At 41.9% G+C, this 24,807-nt stretch overlaps 1 protein-coding gene across 12 annotated transcripts in view, besides 3 other annotated features; it reads right to left on the reverse strand.

Annotated features, from left to right (window-relative positions):
* Positions 1–24,807, reverse strand: part of FOXP1 (forkhead box P1) — a 629,271-nt gene that overhangs the window by 250,920 nt on the left and 353,544 nt on the right. The gene's annotated exons all lie outside the window — the stretch shown is intronic.
* Positions 4,544–5,089: an enhancer, noted in NCBI's record as "NANOG hESC enhancer chr3:71259322-71259867 (GRCh37/hg19 assembly coordinates)". NCBI's record gives its function as "activates a minimal SCP1, AML or CMV promoter by ChIP-STARR-seq in naive H9 embryonic stem cells {active_cell/tissue: H9 hESC(naive)}" and the evidence as "EXISTENCE:reporter gene assay evidence [ECO:0000049][PMID:30033119]".
* Positions 20,840–21,340: an enhancer, noted in NCBI's record as "H3K4me1 hESC enhancer chr3:71275618-71276118 (GRCh37/hg19 assembly coordinates)". NCBI's record gives its function as "activates a minimal SCP1, AML or CMV promoter by ChIP-STARR-seq in naive H9 embryonic stem cells {active_cell/tissue: H9 hESC(naive)}" and the evidence as "EXISTENCE:reporter gene assay evidence [ECO:0000049][PMID:30033119]".
* Positions 22,534–24,178: an enhancer, noted in NCBI's record as "VISTA enhancer hs630". NCBI's record gives its function as "enhancer in: neural tube[3/7]" and the evidence as "EXISTENCE:transgenic organism evidence [ECO:0001131][PMID:17130149]".

Genomic DNA, 24,807 nt, shown 5'->3' on the forward strand with positions numbered 1-24,807 from the left:
AGTCGGGCCTCCCCAGGGAGGAGAAACAAACCAGCTGTAGGGGCACCCCTCCTAGAGAACACAGCATCTGTGTCCAAACGGCGCCACTGACCTGTCCTGCCCTCTGGAACGCAGGAGGTGCAGGGCTTGGTACACGTAAGCAAAGGCAAGATGCATTTGAATGCATCTGACATGGCCAGTGGGGATCATCTATAGCTATGATGACCAACGCAAGCAAGGAACACTAAATTGGCAAAAACTTAGAAAACCCATGCTTATTTTCAATAATGTAATACGGCAGCTTTCTTGCCTTCAAAAGAGGAAGAAAAGAAATAGGAACTAACTTGTATTTATCAATTAAACCAGGAATAGTTTATATTTATCAATTAAATGGAAGAAGCATTCAGATTAAAATAGTTTGCTTGTCCACTTTCCCCAGCTCCATTTGTTTAATAAGAATAATAAATAAATACATCTTTTATCTCAAGTTTAACTTTCAGGTATGCCTTGCACATAACAAGAATTTAACACATAATTACTAAATGTTTGACTAAATGATTAAATGACACAAAATTCCAAGGCCAACCTCTTGATCAAATGAGATCAAGGGCTTGTGCTGGCCTCCAACTTTTATATTCCAACTTTAAAAATACTCTATTTCCTGTACACTTCTTTAACTGTTTTGGTGTTCTGAAACTCCAAAAGTAACAAGCCATTAATTAAATCTGTTAGGTCTTAAGAGAAGTAGGATGATCTCATTAAACATTGAAAGATAATCAACCAATGAAATTTCCTACAAAAACCCATTGGAAACACTGAATATATATATGGACAATTCAGATGGGCTGGAGAAGGTAGACAATGGGATGTTTAATTTTCCCTGTAATTCATGACTCAGAATAGAGTTGGCGGGATAGGGTGGTAATAAAATAATGTTCCTAACAAAAGCACAGGCTTCCCCCTTCTTCACCAGGCTTTCAATGTGAAGACAGGAGACTTCATATTTCCAAGGAAAAAAAGGATTTCTGCATTCCAATGCCAAGGCAGTAAAGTTGTTCAGAGCAACTGTAAATGTCTTATTCTTCAGAACTGTCTTCATCAAACTTTCTTGGATAACGTAATCTTTATAAGACACCAATGAGCACAGATAACAAGTTGACCCCGCTCCAAAAATTACAGATGTCTCAATTTATATTTTTTAGCTTTTCAGCTCTGGTGGGTCTTGGTTCGCTTCTTTCCTAATAGACAAGAGTTTAAGTGCCGTAATCATAGCAACTGTGGGCAAACGAGGGAAGTTAGAAAGAAGCCGCTCTAGGAAACAAGTACAAAGCAGAATGCATACCCACTCCCTCGCATATTAATCCTGAGGAGCTCAAATAATTAAATAGAGACTGAAAAGGAGCTTTGCCAATCCAGTGCTAGGCTGTTTGCTTTGCCACAAGGAAGCCTCTGAAGGTCAGGCATGATGGGGCCAGGTGTTCTGGGGAGCGTAATTAAAATGCATTTTTACAGAACAAAATAGATTTTAAGTTTGAGAACTAACAAAGCCCACGGAACTTTAATCATTTGAACATTCAAACAGCTGAATTCTCACAAATAGCCCAGTGGAATAAAGTGACCAACAACCAGTTCAGAAAAGTCTTTTTTTTTTTTCATTTCTATATTTTCTATCATTTAATGTACACGAGGCCAGGTTCATAACATAGATTAATGACTGGCGTGATCTATGACACACTTCACGTATCTCCCGCTTTGGCTCAAGCCCCTCACCGCTCTAGTGGCCAAAGTGAACAATATGTTCACAGCATCATGGTAATGTAGTGAATGTGGGCCATCAGAATTCTGTTGCTTGCATTTCTCCGTTGTGCAAAAGGAACAATTATTTAATTTTATCCTTCAAAAACTCCAATATACATATATGTATTTTCCCCCCTGAAACTTGCTCTCACAGACAGATGAGCAAGGCTTCTCTGACATAAAAGACCACCATTTGCCTCTGCAGGTCATGACCCTCCAGCCTCCACCCTCACCCTGGTCGGTGTTGTATCTTTGTAATTTACAGCAAATGCTAGGAGAGCATACCTCATATTGAAACACAAGGCAAATTCAGAAACAGCAACAAACAATAACTTAAAAAAAAAATGATGATATGATGCGAGCTGAGAGTTTTCTCTACTGTTTGCAAAACATGACAAAGGCCAGGCTAATGTTCAGGTCTTATCTAAGGTGGCTCCCAGTGTCCAAGGGACAAGCGTCATGTGCACACACCAAACTAGATAAAGAGCCACATGCTTGCTTTACTTAACTAGAAATGATACAAAGCATAAACTCACTTTAAAATGGACAGGTAAGAACCACAGGTAAGAGTAAAAACACTGGCTTTTAAAAATACATTATGCATATTAACTGTGTAGTTTCTTCCCAGTTAAAATATCTTCATTTATGGCAGGGGGGATTTATTCAGAACACATCAAAGTAAAAGTTAATCCTCCCTTCTCAAACTTGACAAAGAGTACATGCATCCAACAGGATCATATCAAGCCTACAGGACAACACGCAAGATAGACACAGTAACACAAAATCCAAGGATTGTACCTTTCAATGGTGACTGCCTTGTTCATAGTACTAGACTTTTTCTCCTACACCTTCTAAGTCCTTGTTTGTTCCACAAAGAAATTTCTAGCCATCTGATGCTCTATTACTGAGCTAGTGGCCTTTCAGGAGAGCTCTCTCCCTTCAGAAAAAAGCAAACAACTGCATAGATATCATTACACTAAGGAAATCTCTTAGAAAAACCAAACAACTTGCTAATCTCACCAGCCCCTTCATCCAAGCAAAAGATAAGAAAAGCAAACCTAAGTCTGTTTCAACCACATTCCAGGGACAAGTTCCCCTTTTTCTTTCTTTATCAAAATTCTAGCATTTAAGTTTGTGTGTGTGTGTGTGTGTGTGTGTGTCTGTTAAACAGACCTTGCAGGATAAACTGCTGCTCACACCCGCAAACAAAGCAATATCTGTTTAATAACGATTGCTGCCATGGGTACAGTAAACAAGGGGCCCAGCATTTGTGTTTATGAACAAACACATCATCTTACAAGAGCAATTTAACATTAACCAGGTGGAATAATCAACAGATTTCATAGGTGACAGCAGGGGCAGGGCTAACGTAAACAGAACTGGGGAGGAGAAAGAGGCCACTCTTTGAGAATCAAGGTCGAGGTAAATGCATTACAGAGTAAACAGCTGGGAAGAAGGCAAGATAAACAAACAGTCATTCTGACATTTAGAGAGGCAGAAAGGTTGTATGTTACATAGATCAGCTGCTGACCACCATGAAATCAAACCGGTTGGAGACCAAGCCTGCTTGTTTGCACAATGCCATGTTTGCTTATAAACAACAATTTGCTGTTACCAACATCACATTACTCACCATCATATAAGCCAGAGTGAAGCCAGTCAGATCCGCTTAACTCTTTACTGGTGACATTACTTAGAAATTAAAAAACAAAAAACAGGCCCCTTTAAGAAAAAGAGGTCAGTCACCCCAAAATAAGACCAAGAGACCTCAGTCAATACCCTTTTATTTCCTGGCTTGCAGATAAAAATAAAGCATCCACATGGTTTAAACTACTAAAGGTTGGATTTGAAAACAGCTTTAAAACACTATAATGTTTTCATGCTTCAGTAACTCTGCATTCATTTCTTGGGCTCATCTTCTTTTATCAATGAAATATATGGGTCAAACACAGATTCGAATCTTTAATGTTTCATCCAGAAGGAAAACCTTAATGCTCCAGTCTCCTCATATCAAGCTTCTATTCTAAGATACCTTTAAGCCCAGTGGGCCCACAAACAGATGCAGAGCATTCTCAACTACTCTGCAAAAATCCAACTATATCAGTTTATGATGTTTTCCTTACAAAATATCAAAAAATAAAATAATCAGTTGATGTCCCATGTAACCACTCAGGGGTTCATTCTGTCAGCTTATCAATAAAATCTTAGCTCTTCAAAGCCCAGAATGAACAATAAGTTCGGTGTGTCCCTAACAAAAGTGTTAAGAAGAAACGTTTAATCTCTAAAAATTTCCCTGATGTGCACTACCACATAAAGCAGCTTACTGTGTGTTACAAGAAAGTTATCATGCCTTATCAGAGATACTATATTTAGAAACACAATCGGCAATTAAAACATTAGTTTCAATCTATTTTACAGATACTTTAACACCATTAATTTAATTTTGATACATGTGAAAAACCTCCTTCCATTACTTAAAATTTAATAAGCAAAACATACTGAAAAACAGTTTGGTAATTTATCTATATCTTACACTTATAATCAGTTAGCTAATTTTTTTAAATTCTGCGTGATGTCAGTGCAAAGTGCAGCAAAACACTGTCTGCTGGATATCCAAAGCAAAATATGGAAATGAGAAAAGGATATTAAAAAAATAAAGATACACCTAAGTGGATTCTGGCAATTACATGATTAACAATCAGGTTATTGGAATTTTCCACTCTGTCTAAAAAGAAAGTAACAAAAATTGTGTTGGTCTGCCCCAACCCCCACAACAGATATCCCCCTCCGGAGTTCCACTGTGAATAAACTCCTCAACCTTCTCTAGCTGCTCTTGTTTCCAGGCCTTGCTTGAATTATCTAATCTTTGTTCTGCAAACCTAAAGTCACAAAGTAACTAGTGTGTTGTCTTTCATGTTTTTGTTTTGTTGCTCTGTGGTTTGTTCCCTAAGTCCCTCTCTGCCAACCATCATCTTTCCCCAAATCAACATAGTCCCTGAGGCCTCGACAATGTCAGGGGAAGAAAATTTCCACTGAGCATTCAGTGCCCTGGTAGGAGGCCATTTTTCAGGCTCAAGGACCTGTTAACACCTGATGGACATGCAGGGAAGAGACATCAAGAACTTCCCTTAAAAGCCCTCTAGGGCTGGAGCTGTTCTACTGCCCTTGAGAAAGAAAATCAGACTTGCTCAACTGATTGATGATGCAAGTCCGGCTGCTGGAACAACTAACAGAGAGAATCTTCCCTCTAATGTTTTGAGAACAGAACGTTCTCAGATTCCGTGCTCACTACCCTATGGATGACTAGGAGGTAGAGAAAAGTGAAGGGGCTTCTATAACCAACACCCCAGTGAAAACCTAAGAGAAAAACAAAATGAAAAAGTCAAAGTGGAGGGCTGTGTCCTGGTATCCTCACTGTCCTGTCTTCAGGAGAAAATGCTGATGATTCACTCTCTGCACTTCAGCTCTTGTCCAGTTCTCCTGAGCTTCAGTTTTTATTTTCTTTTCCTGAACCCTGGATGAACCAGAATATTAGTAAAGGATTATAAACATAGTTGACAATTCTAAATGGTAATCCAAAGAGTTGTAACAATTTCCCTTCATAAAGGGAAATCATAATTGAGTCCTGGAGTTTTGAAAACTAGGCTAAACCTGGGCATATAATCATTGCTTGAATGGGGTACTCTTTTCTGTTTGAAGATGGTTTCACCTATTCCTTATCACGAGCAGGATAAATAATGTGTCTTCTTTCCTCTTCCCCAGCAGTGGTGTTACACTTGCCCTAACCCACATTTAGTTCTATTTTTCCATTTTTATTTTTGAGATGGGAGTCTTGCTCTTTTGCCCTGGCCAGAGTGCAGTGGCGCAATCTTGGCTCACTGCAACCTCTTCCTCTTGGTTCCAGTGATTCTCCTGTCTCAGCTTCCCGAGTAGCTGGGATTACAGGGGTGTACCACCAAAACCGGCTAATTTTTGTATTTTTAGTACAGACAGGGTTTCATCATGTTGGCCAAGCTGGTCTCCAACTCCTGACCTCAAGTGATCTTCCCCCCTTGGCCTCCTAAAGTGCTGGAATTACAGGTATAAGCCACCATGCCGGGCCCACATTTAGTTTTACTTCTATGTACCCAGTTTACTTATTTTATTCCCCATGAATCCCAAATTGTAAAAGTTTTATTTTTAAAAAAGTACATTAAGAAGGCTTTTATATAAGCTGTTCAACAAATTATTTTTAAAATAGAAAATAGTTCTAAAGAGGCCTTGGGCTAACTCAAGATTGGGAAGGACTGATTTTTCTTTTCACAACTCCTCCCCAGAATGAAAATCTTACAAATTCTGAGAATCTCAGAAAGGTTGTGGCATCTTAGTGGACACCGGAGCTAGTTTCCCAAGCCCCATGCATTCACTTTTACTTCTGTCTTCATTATTTTCACCATCTCCATCCACATCTACCATATTGTTATTTTAAAAAATGATTCACTTTTGATAAATAAATCTACCTTCAGAGGAAACTTTGTATCACTTCTTCAAATGGAAAACCAGTATGTAACCCTTTGTAGGTGAGAAAGACTTTTATAATGCATGTTATAAAACCTAACCAATGATATTAAATTCTGCTAGAACCTGCTGTTTCTCAGAGGCTCTGAGTGGAACCATGTTCTTTCTTTGTTAAATAATGAGCTTACAACTGGGAGAGACAGATTAAAGATACTAGTACCAAATTGAGACTTTCTCCTTGGCTTTATCAGAAGGATTAAAAAAGAATTGAAAATGGAATTGCTTCAACATTGAACCACAGTAATGCGAATTGGTGAATGATTTACGAGCCACCAAAAAATCCTCTCCCAACCTATCCGTGAGTGGTACAAGGCTCATATATTGGGCAACTGAGCTACAGGAGACTTAAGAGACCCTCATGAACCTCCACGCTATAATCTTGACCCTTAAGCACTGGATTCCTAACAGTGCAATTCACAAAGCACGTACTGAGGGGCTACATGGACACTTACACTGCTAAAGACATAATCAACCAAGAAGCCAGATTCTTTACACTTGCCCCCAAACCAAATGAGGCTCCTAGTTCATGGGTATTACGCTTGTAGAAGACACCCTAAAAACCAGTAGCTCCAACAATGAGCCTCCCATCCAGGCCTGCCTTTTCTCACACCATCAAAAAACTTGTGCATCAGCCACTTAAGTCATGCCGCCTTTCCACAATACAAGTTCAGAGTTTATTTAGTAGCAAGTAACTACTATAAGAACTATAAGCATATCATTCAAATGCTTTATTGGTCAAAAAGATGAATGCTTTTATTAATCCAACCTTTTTGTAATGGAGTGCCACTGATGACCCAGCATTAGCCTCATTCCCTGCTATTAATCACACTTCTAAGAGCTCATTTTGCCTTAAAATCTTAAGAAATTGCTATAATTTAAAGACATGGTGTCTACGTAATGGGAAATGCTTCATAGATTGTATCATTTCAGAAAATACAGTATATTTTTATGGGAACAATGACATGATGCTAAGGAATTACAAAATGGGAATATATATATATATATATATATATGAATGAATAAAAAGAGAAAAATGTAAGCCTCCTTTCGTATTTGTAGCTTCCCACATCTGTAAACTTTAATCACTACCTTTGTGAAGTCCATTAATCCAAAGGCATGGGCATATAGTTTACATAGATTAAATCCAAAATAACACTCCCAAACAAATGAAAATTAAATGAAGGGAGAAACTCTAATGTAAAAAGAAAGATGTGGAAACACACGGTGTGTTTTAAGAAAATTCCATCAGTGGTATATTCCTCATTCATCATCTGTAATTCCTGTGCCTTGTTTGTCCATGTGAAGACAACTAAGGCAAGCCCTTCAGTAAAGGATTCAGGACAAACTACAGGCATCTGCCTATTTACATTCAGCAGAATTTTAACAATATAATGATGTCCTTAACACATAAGACCTTTTCTCATTAAGCTACCCTTCAAGACCATTTAACACAGCTGAACACTATAAAGAACTGTATCTGAAAGAGTTTTTTCAAAATACAGAGCTAAAGTAAATCTTTTTTAAGGCACCCCTTCAATTTTTACCACCACACAATTCAAATGCAGCATACACATGGCCGGGCATGGTGGCTCACGCCTGTAATCCCAGCACTTTTGAGAGGCCGAGGCAGGCGGATCACAAGGTCAGAAGTTCGAGACCAGCCTGGCCAATATGGTGAAATCCTGTCTTTACTAAAAATACAAAAATTAGCCGGGTGTGCTGGTGGGTGCCTGTAGTCCCAGCTACTCGGGAGGCGGAGGCAGGTGAATCGCTTGAACCCGGGAAGTGGAGGTTGCAGTCAGCCAAGATCGTGCCACTGCACTCCAGCCTGGGCGACAGAGCAAGACTCCATTTCAAAAAAAATAAAATAAAAATAAAATGCAACATACATATGTATATATTCAAATCTTACAAACACATAAAAATGGTAACATTGTGTTACATGATGAATGAAGGGTGCAGTGGGTTCCAATCAGGTACTACGATGATGAATGGATCTAGAGTGAATGGCTGGGAAGTACAAAGAATCAGTCGGCCTAAAAGTCAAGAATGCAGATATTGTCCCTACAGTTAGCAAGGATTGAACTTGGAATCTGAGAAACAGCCAGAAGCTGGTGATAAAGCGTACTTAGGTGGAGCTGGGACAAAAGCATCTGCCTGCTTGGTGAGAGGCAAGTCCAGCTCTGGCTGAGGGGCCCCTTTGCACAGAGATATGCTCCGCCCATCCATCCATGTGCTATCATGTGGTCTAAATAAGCACCTAGACCTTGGATCTCCCCCATGGGGAAGTGCTGAGCCTGGGAGGAGATTTAGAAAGAAACAGAAGTCCTTTATCAAGCTACCTTAATCATGCTGTCACGAACATGCCAACGAGAAAGACAGGGCTTGAGGTGCCCTGAATAGGTAGAACAGGTACCAACAGTGGGGCCACTTCTCTTTGCCTGCTGAGTGCTGGGGCCACTGGATGACTACAGGGTCAACGGCGGGACCATCTGATGTCTGATAATGCCAGATTCTCAACAGGATTCATTCATCAACTAAACACCCAAAGAAACTTTTGAAAGGGTGTTGCTACTCCCTGGCATGCCCATGGTAGCTGTGAGGGGTGGAGGTACTGGACATCTTTGGGACAGGAACAACACTCTAAAATAGGGAATTAAAATTACTAGTCTTCTTCACCTGTAAACGGAGACAACAGGGCTCCTAATAACGAGCATGCTAAATACCTGAGTTAAGATTCATCAAAGATCACAGCCATTGTTGATCACGTTCTCCCCCAAAAGAGAGAGAGGAGCGGGGGAGAGAGGATCATAACCTAGGCACAACCAATTGATGAGAAGAGCCAGTGCATTTATCCAAGAGTAGACCCCTGTGGCACCTTCCAGAGGAGACTAGTACAAGGGATCTGTCTCATGACAAGGGTTTCCAATAGAACCACATATACCTCCAACAGATGAGAAAGTGATCAACCTGTGCACTGCAACTGTGTTGCAGGCTATGACTACACAAAGCATGGTTCTGTGGACAGCCGCAAAGGCATCACCTGGGAGCTTGTTAGATATGCAAATTCCTGAGCCCATCTCAGACCTACTAAATGAGAACCTGCATTTTAAAATATCCCCAAGGTGATTCACATGCATATTAAAGTTTAAGAAGGCAGGTCTGGTGGAAAACAGGCAGACATACTTGGGCTTGATTTCTAGCTCAGCCAATTTTTAAGTTTTCAACAAGATATCCCACCACTCCCTATTCTCATTTCCTCATCTATAAAATCATGCTGTTCTGCATCTGATTTCACTCGTCCTTCTAAGCAATATTTATTCTATAGTTAATACAAAATATGCCAGGCCCTGTACTGAGTGTTAGGGTGCCAACATGGAACAAAAATCAATACAGTTCCATCAACATGAAGGTGATTGTCTAATCAAGAAGACACAGATTAATCAATTAGACACATAAATAAGTGGAGATTAGAATTGTGATAAGTGCTACCATGAAAAATGCACAGTGTTCTGAGAGCACAGAGGAATAATGTATGTAAAGTGTCTTGTATGTAGTAGGTGCTCAATAAATCACAGTGATTATTACTAGCTCATAAAACCCAGCCCTTTGGGAGGCCACTGGAAAATTCTCAAGTGCAAATACTCTTCTCCCCATCATAAAATGAACGTGAACTAACACTGAATTCTCAGTTCAACTTAAAGAAAAAAATGTGTTTTGCTGCTGTCTCCTGGCTATATGAGGACTATAACATCAATAAAGTCAACATTTCTTCTAATGACAGCTTAGAGAGCAACACTAACTTTCTGGGTTATTGTTAAGAATCAGCTCTTGTTTACCAAGTTGTAGTTAAAGGGAAAAATGCAGAGCAGGGCAGAGGGTAATACTGCAAGCCAGCCCTGTTCAAAGCAGTCTTTGATTACCATTTTAAAGCCTCGAAATCTAAAGAAAATCTTTAATTGGCTTTTCAGCAGCATTTCTCCTTTGTATATGCAGTTTGTTGAAGTCAAGAAGGTACATGCTAATAATTGCAGGTAGGATTAGCATCCTGCACCTTATACTGTGGATACAAGTGGTTGATTATTAGTGCACCTGGCACGTGTCTATACAGCAAGAAAACTGGACTGAACAGGAATCAAACAGGGCTCCTAACCAAATCCCCATCACTGACAACTCCCACCCCAGGAGCAGAGGCGCCTTGAGTCCATCACACTGAATGAGAAGCTTGCACAGCACTGCACCTGGGTGTGTTCACTTCTCCTTAAAATAGCTCTCCAAAGTCCCACCTCTTCCTTTGCCTCATTTCGCGTGAACTCACAAACTTTAAGAATTTAAGTATGATTGAATAAGTCTCCATGTATTTACAAATTTCTGGTTCTTTTCCACAAATGTGACTTCCTTCCAACAGGTGTAGATTTGTGATGGGAGAATTCTGACCTCACTTTTATCTGAATGCCCGTCAACTCAAGAATGTCCAAACAGAATGGTTGATTTGAATGGGCTGGGAAGCTGGGGCAGCTGCAACGTGCTTCAGGTAAGCCCTCAAGATCTTAAGGTATAGTAGCCGCATGATACTGACCATCAGTTCACACACTGGGGCTCCTACTTTGATTTTTCTGAGTTGATGTATGTAAGATGGGATAGGACCAGCACCACTAGCAGCTTGGTAAGCAGACAAAAATGGGTGGTTTCCATTTTTATTGCCTGGAATGAGACGTACCTTGAGTATAATTTCCTTTGGGTCCAACAATTAAAAATGCAAAGTATGAGGGAAAAGGATACACCAGGAATTAAAAAAAAAATCAGGGAAAAATATCTGCCTAACAATCTGTCCTTCTACAGCAGTCGTTCTCAACTGATGGTTAATTGTCCCTCCCCCACCAGGGGACATTTGGCAATGGCTGAGGACCATTTTGGTTGTCACACCTGGAGGAGGGGGCTTGTGCCACTGGAATCTGGTGGGGAGAGGCTGGGGATGCTGTCGGACATCCTACAATGCACAGCAGAGCCCCTACAGTAAAAATTACCTGGTCCACGCATCAAGAGTGCTGTGACAGAGAACACTTCTAAAAGAATTTGTTCTATTTTTATTTTTATTTTATTTTATGCTTTAATGTATTATTATTTTTTGAGATGGAGTCTCATTCTGTCACCCAGGCTGGAGTGCAATGGCATGACCTCGGCTCACTGCAACCTCCGCCTCCCAGGTTCAGGGGATTCTCCTGCTTCAGCCTCCCGAATAGCTGGGATTACAGGCATGTGCCACCACGCCCAGCTAAGTTTTGTATTTTTAGTAGAGATGGGGTTTCATCATGTTGGCCTGGTTGGTCTGGAACTCCTAACCTCAAGTGATCCACCCGCCTTGGCCTCGCAAAGTGCTAGGATTACAGGTGTGAGCCACTGTGCCCAGCCTAGGATTTTGTTCTTTTTTTTTATTTAGGGATCAAAGCAATGAGTTCTACTTCTTGTTCAGAAGTAAATTTATTATGTTCCTTAAAACTTTAATGATTTGTGATTTTTTTTGCTTCTGTTTCTACTTCATAAATACTACCAAACTGAGCACCTATTATAGGTCAGGTTAGCCAAGACTTAGGTGATGCCCAGACATTTGAGTAGAGTAGTATATTTCAAGAGGCTGGGAGTGGAGAAGAGAGAGATGGGCTGGGGCAGGCAAGCAAATAGGAGAAAAGAAGTGGCCAAGCTTGACAGAGAAGACTGGAGTTGGAACCCTACATTAGCAGAGAGCAGGGAAGGGCTGGGATGAAATGAGCTTTACAGGAAGTGAAATCTGATAGAAGTACTCAGGATGGGGCCAAAGCAGAGAGAATGAGGGACAAATTAGGACACTTTCATCCACTTCTCCCTGCTTCCAGAGTGCCCTGCTCATCGAACACTCATCTCTCCAAACTCTACTTCTCCCTCCAACAAGTAGGTTCGCCAATCATAAAATCATCTTCTCAACCTCGAGTGTCTCTCCCTGGGATTGCCAGCTGCCTGAAAGGACTACACTTCATTGTGTCGACATCCTCCCCTCCCCTGGCTCCACCTCTGCAAGCTCGCTTCTGCCTCACCTCTTTGCTGAAACTGTCCCTATCATATTACTAATGAGCGGAGGTGACTTGAGTCCATCACACTGAATGGGGAAACTTGCATAGCACTGCACCTGGGTGTGTTCACGTCTCCTTAAAACAGCTCTCCAAAGTCCCACCTCTTCCCTTTCCTCATTTCCCGTGAACTCACAAACTTTAGGAATTTAGAATATGATGTAATAGGTCTCCATGTATGTACAAATTTAATGAAGGTAAGTAACTGATAGTGATGGTAACTCCAATGAGTTTCCAGGTGCTAAATTCAAAAGAGAGTTTTCAACCCTTACCTTACTTAAACTTTGATGACACAAGACACTGTCATTCATATCATTTCTCTTGAAAAAGAAAATCTCTCTTCTGTTTGCCTCCAGGTTGTCCTCCTCATTCCTGGTTCTCTGGCGCTATCTCTGATGGCTCCTTCTCATTCTTTTTAATGAGCATCCCCTTCCTCTGCTCATTCTTCAATATTGCATCTTGTCTAAAGTTAAGGCCTCAGTGCTGCAAAACTCTTAAAGCAGGGGTCTGCAAACTTTTTCTGTGGTGTTGTACAGTAAAATATTTTCAGCTTTGCAGGCCAGATGCTCTCTGTCCCAGCTACTTAGCGCTGCTGTTGTGGAGCAAATATAACCCAGCCCATCTGTAAACAAACGGGTGTGGCTGTTTTCCAACTGTTCCAATAAAACTTTATTTACAAAACAGGCGACAGCTGGATTCAGCGCATAGAACTGTAGTTTGTGGGGCCCCTACTCTCAAGCACTATCCCTGGAAGTCCTTAACGTTTCTGTGGCTTCAACTCATGCCTGTATCCTGGTGATTCCTGAATTATTTTCCCCAACCAAAATATCTTCTCAGAGCTGCAGTCCCTTGTTCCTACAACCTTCTGGCCACTTCCACTTTGATGTCCTAAAAGAGCCACAAATTTTGCCTCAAACTGAAATTATTTATTTCTCCAAGCTCTGAAATCAAGCTAGCTCCTATTCCTGGGTTTTCAGGGAAAGAATCCTATTCCAAATAAGGAATTATCTAATAATCTTCCTTCTCTTTTATTTCCCATCTTACCAATTCCCACCCACACTACCTCCTATTTAAATATTACCTGCCTCTCCATACCCTTGCCTGGGAGCATGCCCTCATCACATGCCCTCATCACTTTGTAACTCTGAATGTGAACAAATGCAACTCCTAGTCTGGCCATGCCATAGCCCATCTGATCATGTGACCTCACTTGATTTAAATCCTGGGTCTCTATAAGGCCTATATCCTCCAGGCCTGTTCTGTCCAACAGAAAAACCACTGGCCACATGTGGCTACTGAGCACTTGAAATGTGGCTAGAGTGAATATAGGACTAAATTTTTAATAAATGTGTGATTTTCATGAAAGTTTATTTAAATTTAAAAACCAATACCTAATTCAGTCATCAGAAAATGTTTAAGTATGTCTTGAACAACTTGGGTATGTGAATCTCTTCTTTTAACCGTAAGTTTTATGAAATCGAAATACAGATCAAGTATTTCCAATGAAATTTTAATGTCTGAATTGAGATGATTTTTCAAAAACTTAGTATGAAAGAAGAAAATGAAAAATGTGTCTTTCATATATTTTTAATACTGATTACAAGCTGAAATTATATTTTGGGCAAGTTGGATTAAATAGAATAATACTATAATTTGTATCTTATTCTTTTTACTTTTTTGAATCCAGTTACCAGAAAATTTAAAATTCCTTGTGTGGCTCTCCTTTTATTTCTACTGTGCAGTGCTGCGTGCAGCACACACTTCAGGATCTGGCCTACCTGCCCCTGCAGTGCTCTCCCCACTCTCTCTCTCTCCTGTTTCCACCCTATCTATCTACACTGTAGCCACACTTAACAACCAGCTGCTTCTCAGGCATGCAGAGTACTCCAAGGCCTTTCTGTCTCTACCTCTCCGCCTCCACCATGAACCCTGGTGGGGCTGATTCCTACTGAACCTCACAACTCACCTCTAGCCATGAAAGTTTTTGCAGACCACCTCCACCACCAGATCTGGAAGAGCCCCATCAAGTTTTATACTAAACTCTTGCAGAGTAATCATTATACTACATTCTAGTTTTCTGAATGTTTACCTGTAAGCTAGGGATCATGTCTTGCCCCTAACAGGATACCAGGCAGTTTGATAAATAATTTAATGTCAGACGAGTGAATGAATGAATGAATGAATGAAATATTATACAGCTAGAATGAAAGACCTGGTAACTGATTATAGGAACTGAGGCAACATGAATGACATTTCTCAGCCCAAGTGACGCTTTTGTGAGAATGGCCAAGTGAGGGAACAGGCCACTTTCAGAGTAAAGCAGAAATGAAAACAAAAGCTAGCAGGGAGGCATCAACACAGAGGTGACACTTGAAAGGGAATGAGTCAGATGGTGAGGGGAGGGCCAGCACCCTGGCTTACGCCTGTAATCTCTGCACTTTGGGAGGCTGAAGCAGGTGGATCGCCTGAGCTTAGGAGTTTGAGATCACCCTGGGCAACATAGCAAAACTCTGTCTCTATCAAAAATACAAAAAAAAAATTAGCCAGGTGTGGCAGTGCACGCCTGTAGTCCCAACTACTTGGGAGGCTGAGGTGGGAGGATCACCTGAGCCTGGGAGGTGGAGGTTGCAGTGAGCCGAGATCGCACCACTGCGATCCAACCTGGGTGACTGAGTGAGACCCTGTCTCAAAATAAAATAAAATAAAATAAAATAAAATAAAATAAAAGATTATGAGGAGAAAAGAAGGGTCCTCAGAACAAACCATAGGTAATTCCTGTACTTAGGAAACAGGAAGAATAACATTTACTAAGTTCTGGTCCTCACAACTACTTTGTGAGGTACATATTAATCCTCTTTTTTTTTTCTTTTAAAGAAGAAAACCTGTAGGCCAAGAATACTTAGACTTAGACACACATATATAAAGCTAGCAGACAAAAATATGAGCATCAAACTCATCCAATCTCCACCCACTACATTTTAGAGCGGGGTCCCCAGCTCCCCAAGGGTCTGGGGCCTGTTAGGAACCGGTCGGTAAAGCAGGAGGTGAGCAGCAGGTGAGTGGGCATCACCGCCTGAGCTCCGCCTCCTGTTGGATCAGCAGCTGCATTAGATTCTCATAGGAGCAGGAACCCTATTGTGAAACGTGCATGAGAGGGATCTAGGTTGCTTGCTCCTTAATCATCCCCAACTCTTCCCCTCTCCTGGTCAGAAAAATTGTCTTCCACGAAACTGGTCCTTGGTGCCAAAAATGTTGGGGTCCACTGTTCTAGAGGCACATTCCAGGGTAGAGTCTTGGAGAGTGACAGAAGACTTAGAAGGGAGTTTCAAAGAAGGAAGAGGTGGCTAATGGTTTCAAGTGGCTTAGAGAAGTGGAGGATGATACGAAGATGGCGAAGCAAAAGGGAGATCCCCCATCCAACATCAAATACCTTCATCCTTCTGCCCTCCCTTCTTTCCTTCTGAAAATAAGAGGCTGTTCACTTTCTACATTCACTCTGAAACCTGTGTCTTCCAGGCTTATATTCTTCCAGCACCAACCTCCTTCTCTCTACCGCATCTCTACCGCCTCCCGCATTTTAGTCTATATATAAATATACTCAAGGCACTCAGACCAAAACTATTCTGGGTTACTCTTCTATCCCTCTAGTTCCCATCCTGCAACCTCTTTCCTCCATGCAGCTAAGCTTTTTGGAAGGGTCCTGTCTCTATGTTTCTACCTCTTACTTACAACTCTGCGTTGCAGACTCAATGCTTATGGCTAGGACAGTAGTTCCTCAACTCTGAAGCCAATCAGAACAAAGTCCTTCGTCCGGGTGCAGTGGTTCACACCTGTAATCCTAGCACTTTGGGAGGCCGAGGCAGGCGGATCACGAGGTGAAGAGATCGAGACCATCCTGGCCAACACGGTAAAACCCTGTCTCTACTAAAAATACAAAAATTACCTGGGCATGGTGGCGTGCGCCAGTAGTCCCAGCTACTCAGGAGGCTGAGGCAAGAGAATCGCTTGAACCCGGGAGGTGAAGGTTGCAGTGAGCCGAGATTGCGACACTGCACTCCAGCCTGGTGCCAGAGCGAGATTCCGTATCAAAAAAACAAACAAACAAACAAACAAAAACCCAAGTCCTTCACCCAGATCCATGAGAGGGGCTGGGGCGGAACCCTGGAGGCAGCATTCACAACACGCTGGCGGTCCCTGGACACACCTGGTAACACTGCCAAGCCCAAGAGACCAGAGGGTGTCTGTCACACCTGACATGGAGGCCACTTTGAAAATTCTTCCATGGCTTCCCTGATAGCACATCCTCTGGTGCTCAGCCTGATTCAAAAACCCTTCACTCCCTTGGTATTTTTATTTTTATTTTTATTTTTTTGAGATGGAGTCTCGCTCTGTCGCCCAGGCTGGAGTGCAGTGGCGCGATCTCAGCTCACTGCAACCTCTGCCTCTCAGGTTCAAGCAATTCTCATGCCTTAGCCTCCAGAGTAGCTGGGATTACAGGTGCCCGCCACCACGCCTGGCTACCTTTTGTATGTTTCGTAGAGATGGGGTTTCACCATGTTGGCCAGGCTAGTCTCGAACTCCTGACCTCAGGTTATCTGCCTGCCTTGGCCTCCCAAAGCCTTGGTCTTTTTCAAATACTTCACTGTCTTCCCCAACCCATTCGCTGTTGGTGTTCCTCAAGGTCCCCTTGCCCTCCACATATACTTCACCTTTGCCTACTCATTGATGATCACAGATTGGATCCCCAACAAGCCCTTCTCTCCTTTACCGATTATTTCTACCACTTAAGTTCATCAGGCTCCCAAACTCAACATTCTTTCCTCCAACCTGCTACTTTGCCTGATCAGGGAAAGGTCACTGTCAACTCCTTTGATGTTCAGTCTTTCATCAGGACCTGGCAATTCTTAATCTTATATATTGAATAAATTTTTCCCCTTTCTTTTCATCACCACTACGATCATCCAGCTGTCATCATCTTTCTCCTGAAATCCTCAAAGAACCTTCAGCTGAACCACAAACACCATTAAAAACAAAAACCATTCTGATCAAGTCACTCCCTTGCCAGGAAAGCTCCCCAAGCTCCCCCATTCTAAAAAGAGTCTCAACTCCTTTGAATGGAATAACAGGTCTCCTGTATAATTTCCCAGACTTCTTTCCTGCTTCCTCCTCCACGAACCCAGCACTTTTCCTAGTTAGTTGCTGTTTTCCAAACATACCTTACTCTTTCATACCTACATTATGCTATTCTCCTCCTCTTGGAGGCACTTTTTTCCTACATTGACCTGAATTCCTATGAATGCTTTCAAACCCAGTTCAAATATTACCTTTAAAAAGAAAATATTTCATTCTAGCCGGGTGCGGTGGCTCATGCCTGTAATCCCAGCACTTTGGGAGGCTAAGGTGGGTGGATCACAAGGTCAGGAGATCGAGACCATCCTGGCTAATATGATGAAACCCAGTCTCTACTAAAAATACAAAAAATTAGCCGAGTGTAATGGCAGACGCCTGTAGTCCCAGCTACTCGGGAGACTGAGGCAGGAGAATGGCCTGAACCCAGGAGACGGAGCTTGCAGTGAGTAGAGATTGCACCACCGCACTCCGGCCTGGTGACAGAGCGAGACTACGTCTCAAAAAAAAAAAAAAAAAAAGAAAATATTTCATTCTAAAGTACTCGAGATGCATTTTATTTTTATGCTGACCAAAGGTCAGGTTCATTGCAATATGATAGTGACCAGATGGCTCTCCGCTCAGGCCAGGAGTACCCCATTACTGCTTCAGTAAAGCCTAATAGTACTGGATACTTAGGAGTCACTCAGCAGAAGTTTGCTGGATGGATGGATAGGTGGATAGCTCATGGGCAATGGAAGGATGGAGAGTCTAGGCTTGGATAATCACGCTCCCTAGTATGGCAGCTGGTCAGTGAGTTGCTAATTTCTTCCTCCTCATAGACTAAGGAGGTGATCAAAGAAGAAGAAGTTGGAGATTCTGAATTTAGAGGAATTAAGATTAACGAGTTGTACCATCTGTATAGTAAAAGAAGAATCAAATCATCTGCTGAAATCTGGTGAGGATATAGCAGAGGCTCAAGGGTGGTGGTCAAGTTCTAGGATCATCACTGTAGTGAATGAGAGGACTCTAAAACCATAAACACTGGGATTGATGAGCCCATGAGGGATTGCTCAGTTACGTCTAGGATGCAGAACTGCATACAGGGACTCAGCATGGTTTTGGGAGAGCTACCAGCCATACTCATTCCCTTAGGAAGAAGAGTAGATGTGATCGTAGATGGAGTTGGGGGTTGCGAGAGCCACTGCAGTGGCAGAAGAAGGGATAAGGGAGGGAGAGATGGTATAGAGGGTACTACTGAAATGGCTACTTATGGACTCTCTGCTGGGTGTGGAGGGATGTGGATACAGGACAGTGATTAAGTACAATCCGCACAAGTGATGGGCAAGAGGCAGAGATGGGAAGCTGTGATCAAACGGAGGACTGGAAGTGTCTCAGAAAACATACACAGCAAAAAACCAGTGAGACTGGACAAGCTTCTAAAATTATCCAGCAAGTCAAAGGGAGAGGGCCCAGCACCCAGCACAGTGACACATAGTAGGTGGACATTTGTTGAATAAACAAATCAATGACCAGATGGGACAGAACCATCCCCTCACCCAGTGGTTCTATGTGAGTTGCCAGCATCAAATTAGAAAATAATCACAGATTAGCACTGTAGGCCAAGGACACCCGACAGACTGGTTGTTGTGACAAGGTTATATTTGACATTATTCTAACATGATAATGTAGGCAATGTGTTTAAGAGAATTAGAAATACTCAGCTACAACGGTACCCAAATCTGCCAGGACTTGGCACATCACAGTCAATATTTTGAATGAGTGAATGAGTGCCTAAGTGGATGAATGAATGATAGAATATACATGACCTATACAATACCTGCAATAAAACACAGCCACCTTCAAAACCACACTCAAGGAACAATATTCACAAAGCCAGACTGAACAAGCAACATTGGATAAGGAGTTAAGGCATCTTGTTTCTCAAAAATTTCAATGATACAAAGGCACTAGCTGGGAGGCGGCAGTGTGAGAGAAGTAAAGATGCCTGTGATTCTGTTGCCATGTTATTCCAACACATTTGCGGCATAAATGCTAAGCTGTCAATCCCCTTTGCCTGGATAGCCACAGTTCAGAAGTGGCTCAATCTGATCAGCAGTGAGCTCTCTATTTAATACCTCTTACTTCATAAACTACTAGTGTAGCTCAATTCTCTGAACAACTGGAAAGGAAACAGAGCTGATAAGAGAATTAATACTTTCTTCCCAAATCACATCATCTAGGATAATAAAAGCATGTTAAACAAATAACTCTTAAAAGAAGTAGGAGAAAAACATTTTAACGTGAAGCTCTAAGCGATACTGATGTTTATAATTATGACGAGGAAGGAAAAAAATTTCTGAGCTGTCATAATTGCTAATGCTACGGATTTGTTCCCTGTAGAATTCTGTAAGATAAACAGAGATTTGCATATTTTGAAGGTATTTTGTCTGTCTGTTAAACACTCCTGTTACTGTAAAGATGTTTTTCCTTGCCAGAAATAGCTAGCGATTTTTCTCATCTCATTTCTAGTTCTCTGCCCACTTGCTTTCCCCTCCCTAGGTTTTGGGAGTTCTCCCTCAAATACTAATGGTGGAGGAAACAAATCTTTTGAACAGTGGAGACATGAACAGAAACCCAATCACATCTATGGAAAGGAGCTGGATATGAGGACATATTAGTGCAGAGGAAGAACGGGTGCAGCAAAGAGAGACTGGGCACGGGGGCCCAAGACGGACTGAGAAAAATCATGTCTTCAGATATTTAGGCAACACTGAGTTTCAGAGGGCTTACCAAAAAAAACTTTCACTTTCTAGAAACAAATGGTAGCTTTGCAAGCTGAGTGATGCCAAGTTTTAAACAGCCTGGTTCAGATTCAGGAGAGACAGGGGCAGAGAAAAAACTTCTGAGACACTACTTCTATTTTTACAGTCACTTTGCTTAGACATCAAGGGCATGGGCACTTTTTTGGCAGCCTGTGCTGCTGGACGCCTCTGAGGAAAAGAAGTTGAAATTACATCAATTGAATCTTCCCATTTCCTAGAGCTAACTCAAGTCCCTCTGGTTAGGAACTGGTGTGTCTTGCTTTGGCTCTTGAGGTCTGAAATGGTAACAATCTTGGGCTCTTTCTTGCAGGGGAGGCTGGGATTCTTCAAAGTACAGATCCTTGTTCTAAGCCTAGATGGATGAGGCTGACATCAGAGCATTGCCTTTTCAGTTTGGGCTACTTGCCTCAGGCCCAGATGTGACTCCTGCCAGCCTCACTGCTCAACTCCACCCGGCAGCCATCCTGAAAATGCCCGTCACCTATGCAAGAGCCTCTTCCAGGCACAAGTGATGGCAGGGTCTACTCTGGGGGTCCCTATTGCTTCCCGGGGTTCTCTCTCTCTCTCTCTCTCTCCTGTCTCTCTCCCTCTCACTCCCTCCCTACCCCCTTCTGCATCTCATTCTGGCTCAATCTCTTTCACTCTGTCTCACCCTGTCACACAGTCTCTTTCCCTTTCAGTTTGCCATCTTCCTCTTAGTATCCCTTTCTCTCTGCTTGTCATTTTCCTCTCGCAGTCTTGCTCTCCACCTCCATCTCACATCCTGTCTCGCTGAGTCTCTCTTTTGCTCACTCCCCGCACGCACTACCTTGCTCGTTCTCAGGCTCCCTGCAAGGGCACTAAGTGCGCTGTTCACCGGCCAAGAAGAGGGATCCTGTACAGTCACACTGGTCAGACTGGGGTAAGAGCCAAAGCACGCAGGATGTCAGACGGCAGCTGACAGTCCCCTCTGATGACAGGGCAGAGCGCACAGGACGACTCTGGTTTGGCTGTGGGTGGGGAGAGTCATTTTGGTCTTCGTGGTAATGGCGGTGCCGGGCCTCCTGGACCACATGAGAAGGCTGGTGCGGTTCTAGCGATGCAGTGGTTCTCACACTCTTAGTCATCCTTCCACTGACACACAGTGGCTCAGAGCCCACTGCAGTCCCCTGCTCTTGTCTAAGTCTGCCTTTACAGCCCCACAGGCACGCGACCATGGTGACATCGGGCAGCTTTTATGATCCTCATGTCTCCTCGGATCCCCTTCCCACACAACTCTAAGATTCGGAACACAAATAGCGTTTACGTGAAGACCACGACCACAGGGCATCAAAAATTACCGTGTCTTCCTATTGGAAGCAACAGAGCCCTCTGATATAATGAGTCTGTAAACATACACTTGTCAAAACAAATTGAAAACACTCTCCCGCCAAAGAAACCCCCCAGAAAACTATTAGTCAATTTGAAATTATTCTAAGGTCCAGCTTAGTCTAGAGCTTATCTAACGGTCTATTGAGTTCTCAGTAAGTCATGTGAAAGGAAGTCCTATGATAACATTTCCTGAGACTTCTAGACATTTGATTAAGGAGTTATAAATCTTACAGTCTGACTTGTCACAAGCAGAGTGAGATTACACCCAGGGCTGTCAAGATTAAGTAAACTTGTCTTGTTCTCTTACAGGTCTTTCTCAGCCTTATACCATAGATTAAAGATTTGTTTTGAGATTAAAAAATGGTTACCATCATGCTCAATGTTTTTAAAAAAAAAAAAAAACAGTCAAAGGAGTATAAAGTGACAATTTTCAATCTTCACATCCTGAAACGTATTTACCTGCTATTCATCGGCAAGATTTTAATAAGCAGTAAGTAAAGAGGAAGGAGGAGTGCCTTCTGGGCTAGTCCAAAACTGTTGCCAGATTAATTCATTACAGCTAAAATGAATAACTATATTAAATCGAAGAATGTGTATGACTATGCAGCTCCCGATCTTCCAGTAACCAATTCCAAGAATGTGGTGGAATCAAATCAATATCATGGTGGGGCGGGTGGGGGGCGGGGGAGGTGTCCAGAAACCTCTTTGCAGAAGCCCCTGTCAAATTATATTGCTAATTTTGAATTGACACATTATTCTAGGAATGACCAGCAGTTACCATCAGCAAACCTGTGGAGACTGAGGTTTGAATCCAACACATCACGGAAAGAGAGGATATTTAGGGAGTTCTAGGTCACTGGGATGCTTCCTCAGTTTAGTGACAAGAGATTTGGTACCTAAGTGGAGAACTTACTGTTTTCAATTCTCTATACGCACCGAAATTATTGGGTTAAATAAAGACATGACAAGCCATAAATCAACCTGCTTTTTTTTTTTTCCTGTGGAGTTTTTACTCAGGTGTACTCTAAATGTGCATTAAACTGCAGCTCCATTAAGCAGTTACAATGAAGGTAAAGGGCACAAGGCTAAACACCACAGGACCTTGTATGGATCTCATAGCTTTAATGGAATCAGGTTTTTAACAACTCTTTTTTCGTTAAATACAGTCAGTGTCAGGAAGATGCGTCCCACTCATAAAGCAGCGCAATGACAATGTACAGTGGCACTAACACAAGGACATAGTTCATCATGACATTTCCAGCAATTCCCAACTGATTAGGGTCATTATGTTGGAGGTCTGATTTATGTTGTCATTTCCTCTCACCGATCCTGCATCAATGAATCTTAATGAATTGGTAAATAAGGGTGAAGATTACACTCTATGACACTGAAACATTCCTCATTCTCAACACCCGAGATTTATGTAGCCAATTAGTGACTAACAGAGAAAATTGGCTGGCAGAAAAATAATATTCTTTATGGTACAAAATGGAAAAAGCTTTCTCGTTGAAGGGCAATGCCACAGCAAAAGTCCATAAAGTAGCTTGATATGTGGAAACACAAAAGATGTTTAAAATGTGCTCTAAGAGGGTTTCCTAGTAAAATGCTTTTACTGTTGGTTGTTTTTTTTTTTTTTGATGTCTCATTTTTTAAAGGTTATTGGTTTAATGAGCAGACCTGTATTTTATAAAGGGGGAAAGTTGGCCTTTTAAGGGGAAAGAGTTAAGTACACCCCTATATTATACAAATGCTAATGCTTTGTATTTACTGGGAGAATGGGAAAAATAAGCAAAGACGACACCAGTTTTTCCCCCAGTTTTAGCCGAGATACCAGTTTCTCCTGACTTCTTGCAGACAGGTAGCCATAATGATTTGTACATAATCAGAGAACATTAAAATCTTTCATTCTGATTAATTACTAGTAAGTGTACTTAAAGTACTGAGCATGTTTCAAATACCAGAACTTTTTAATTTAAAAAATAGCCTAATCATTAACACAGAAATCACTCAGCTTACTAGTATTATTTTACATTCACCTGTTCCTGACCTCATTATAAAACCAGATGAAATGACTGTCATAAACAGGAAAAAAAGGTAAAAATTCCCCAATGAAACATAATTCAGAAAATCTTGGCTTCACCTAGTGCTTGAAGCGTAACCCTATGGAGTGTGTTCATGAATGCAAAGCATAGCTTCAGAGTCATTACTGCTTAAGTATATACTTAATGTTGAATACTGTCAGGGAAAAAAAGGGTTCTCAAAATCCACGTATTTATTCAGATTTCATCATACAGGCTCCACACTATCCTTGTAGAATATGCAAATGGGCCGTGTCTCTTTCTTTCAGCTGTTTTCTAGTCAATGTCAAGAATGGAGCTTTGAAATTTAAAAAAAAATAAAATAAACGCCGGAAGTTGGATCAGCTACAATGGGTTCTCCGTACCATCTCCTTAAGGTACCCACTGTCTAGTAAACAACAACAACAACAAGAGCTAATCTGCACTGACAGAGGAGCCCATTCTGTTCAGTTCTGGAAAGCTCCACGGCCACTCGAGTATCCTCCTTGAGGGTTACTGCTTCATCTAGGACTTAGGGATAATTGTGCCACTTCTGTCAAGCTCAGATTATCTCAGTGGCGCTGCAACCTCCAGGACTCCCTGGAAACTTGCTACTCACAATTAGAGCTCCTAAGGCAGCCTCAAGTTCTACAAGGTGTGCCAAACAGCAGGGCTGCAGGAAAAGATACCAGCAGCCAAAGCAGACACCACTGGGGAGGGGTGGGTGGGGGATAAAGGAGAAAAAGACAAAACAAAACCTTGCAAAGGCCGCAGGCTTACAAGAGCGTCACTGTGCGGCTGTGAAGTGTTCAGAGATGCCAAGCAAACTGTGTAGCTTTTCAAATGGATCGCTTTCTTTAAAAACTGCTGTTCTTTGAACCAATTTCTCATAGAACAAATGCAGTGAAATTCTAAGGGCATGTGGTGCTCCTGACTTCTGGTGCCAAGAAGCCTCTACTTACATAGCAGAATGCCTTGGGCAGACAAAACTGCCCTCAGAGGTAGTACTGTGTGTTCAATGCCCATGAATGA

The sequence above is a fragment of the Homo sapiens genome, chromosome 3, assembly GCF_000001405.40.
Source record: "Homo sapiens chromosome 3, GRCh38.p14 Primary Assembly".
Taxonomy (NCBI): Eukaryota; Metazoa; Chordata; class Mammalia; order Primates; family Hominidae; genus Homo; species Homo sapiens.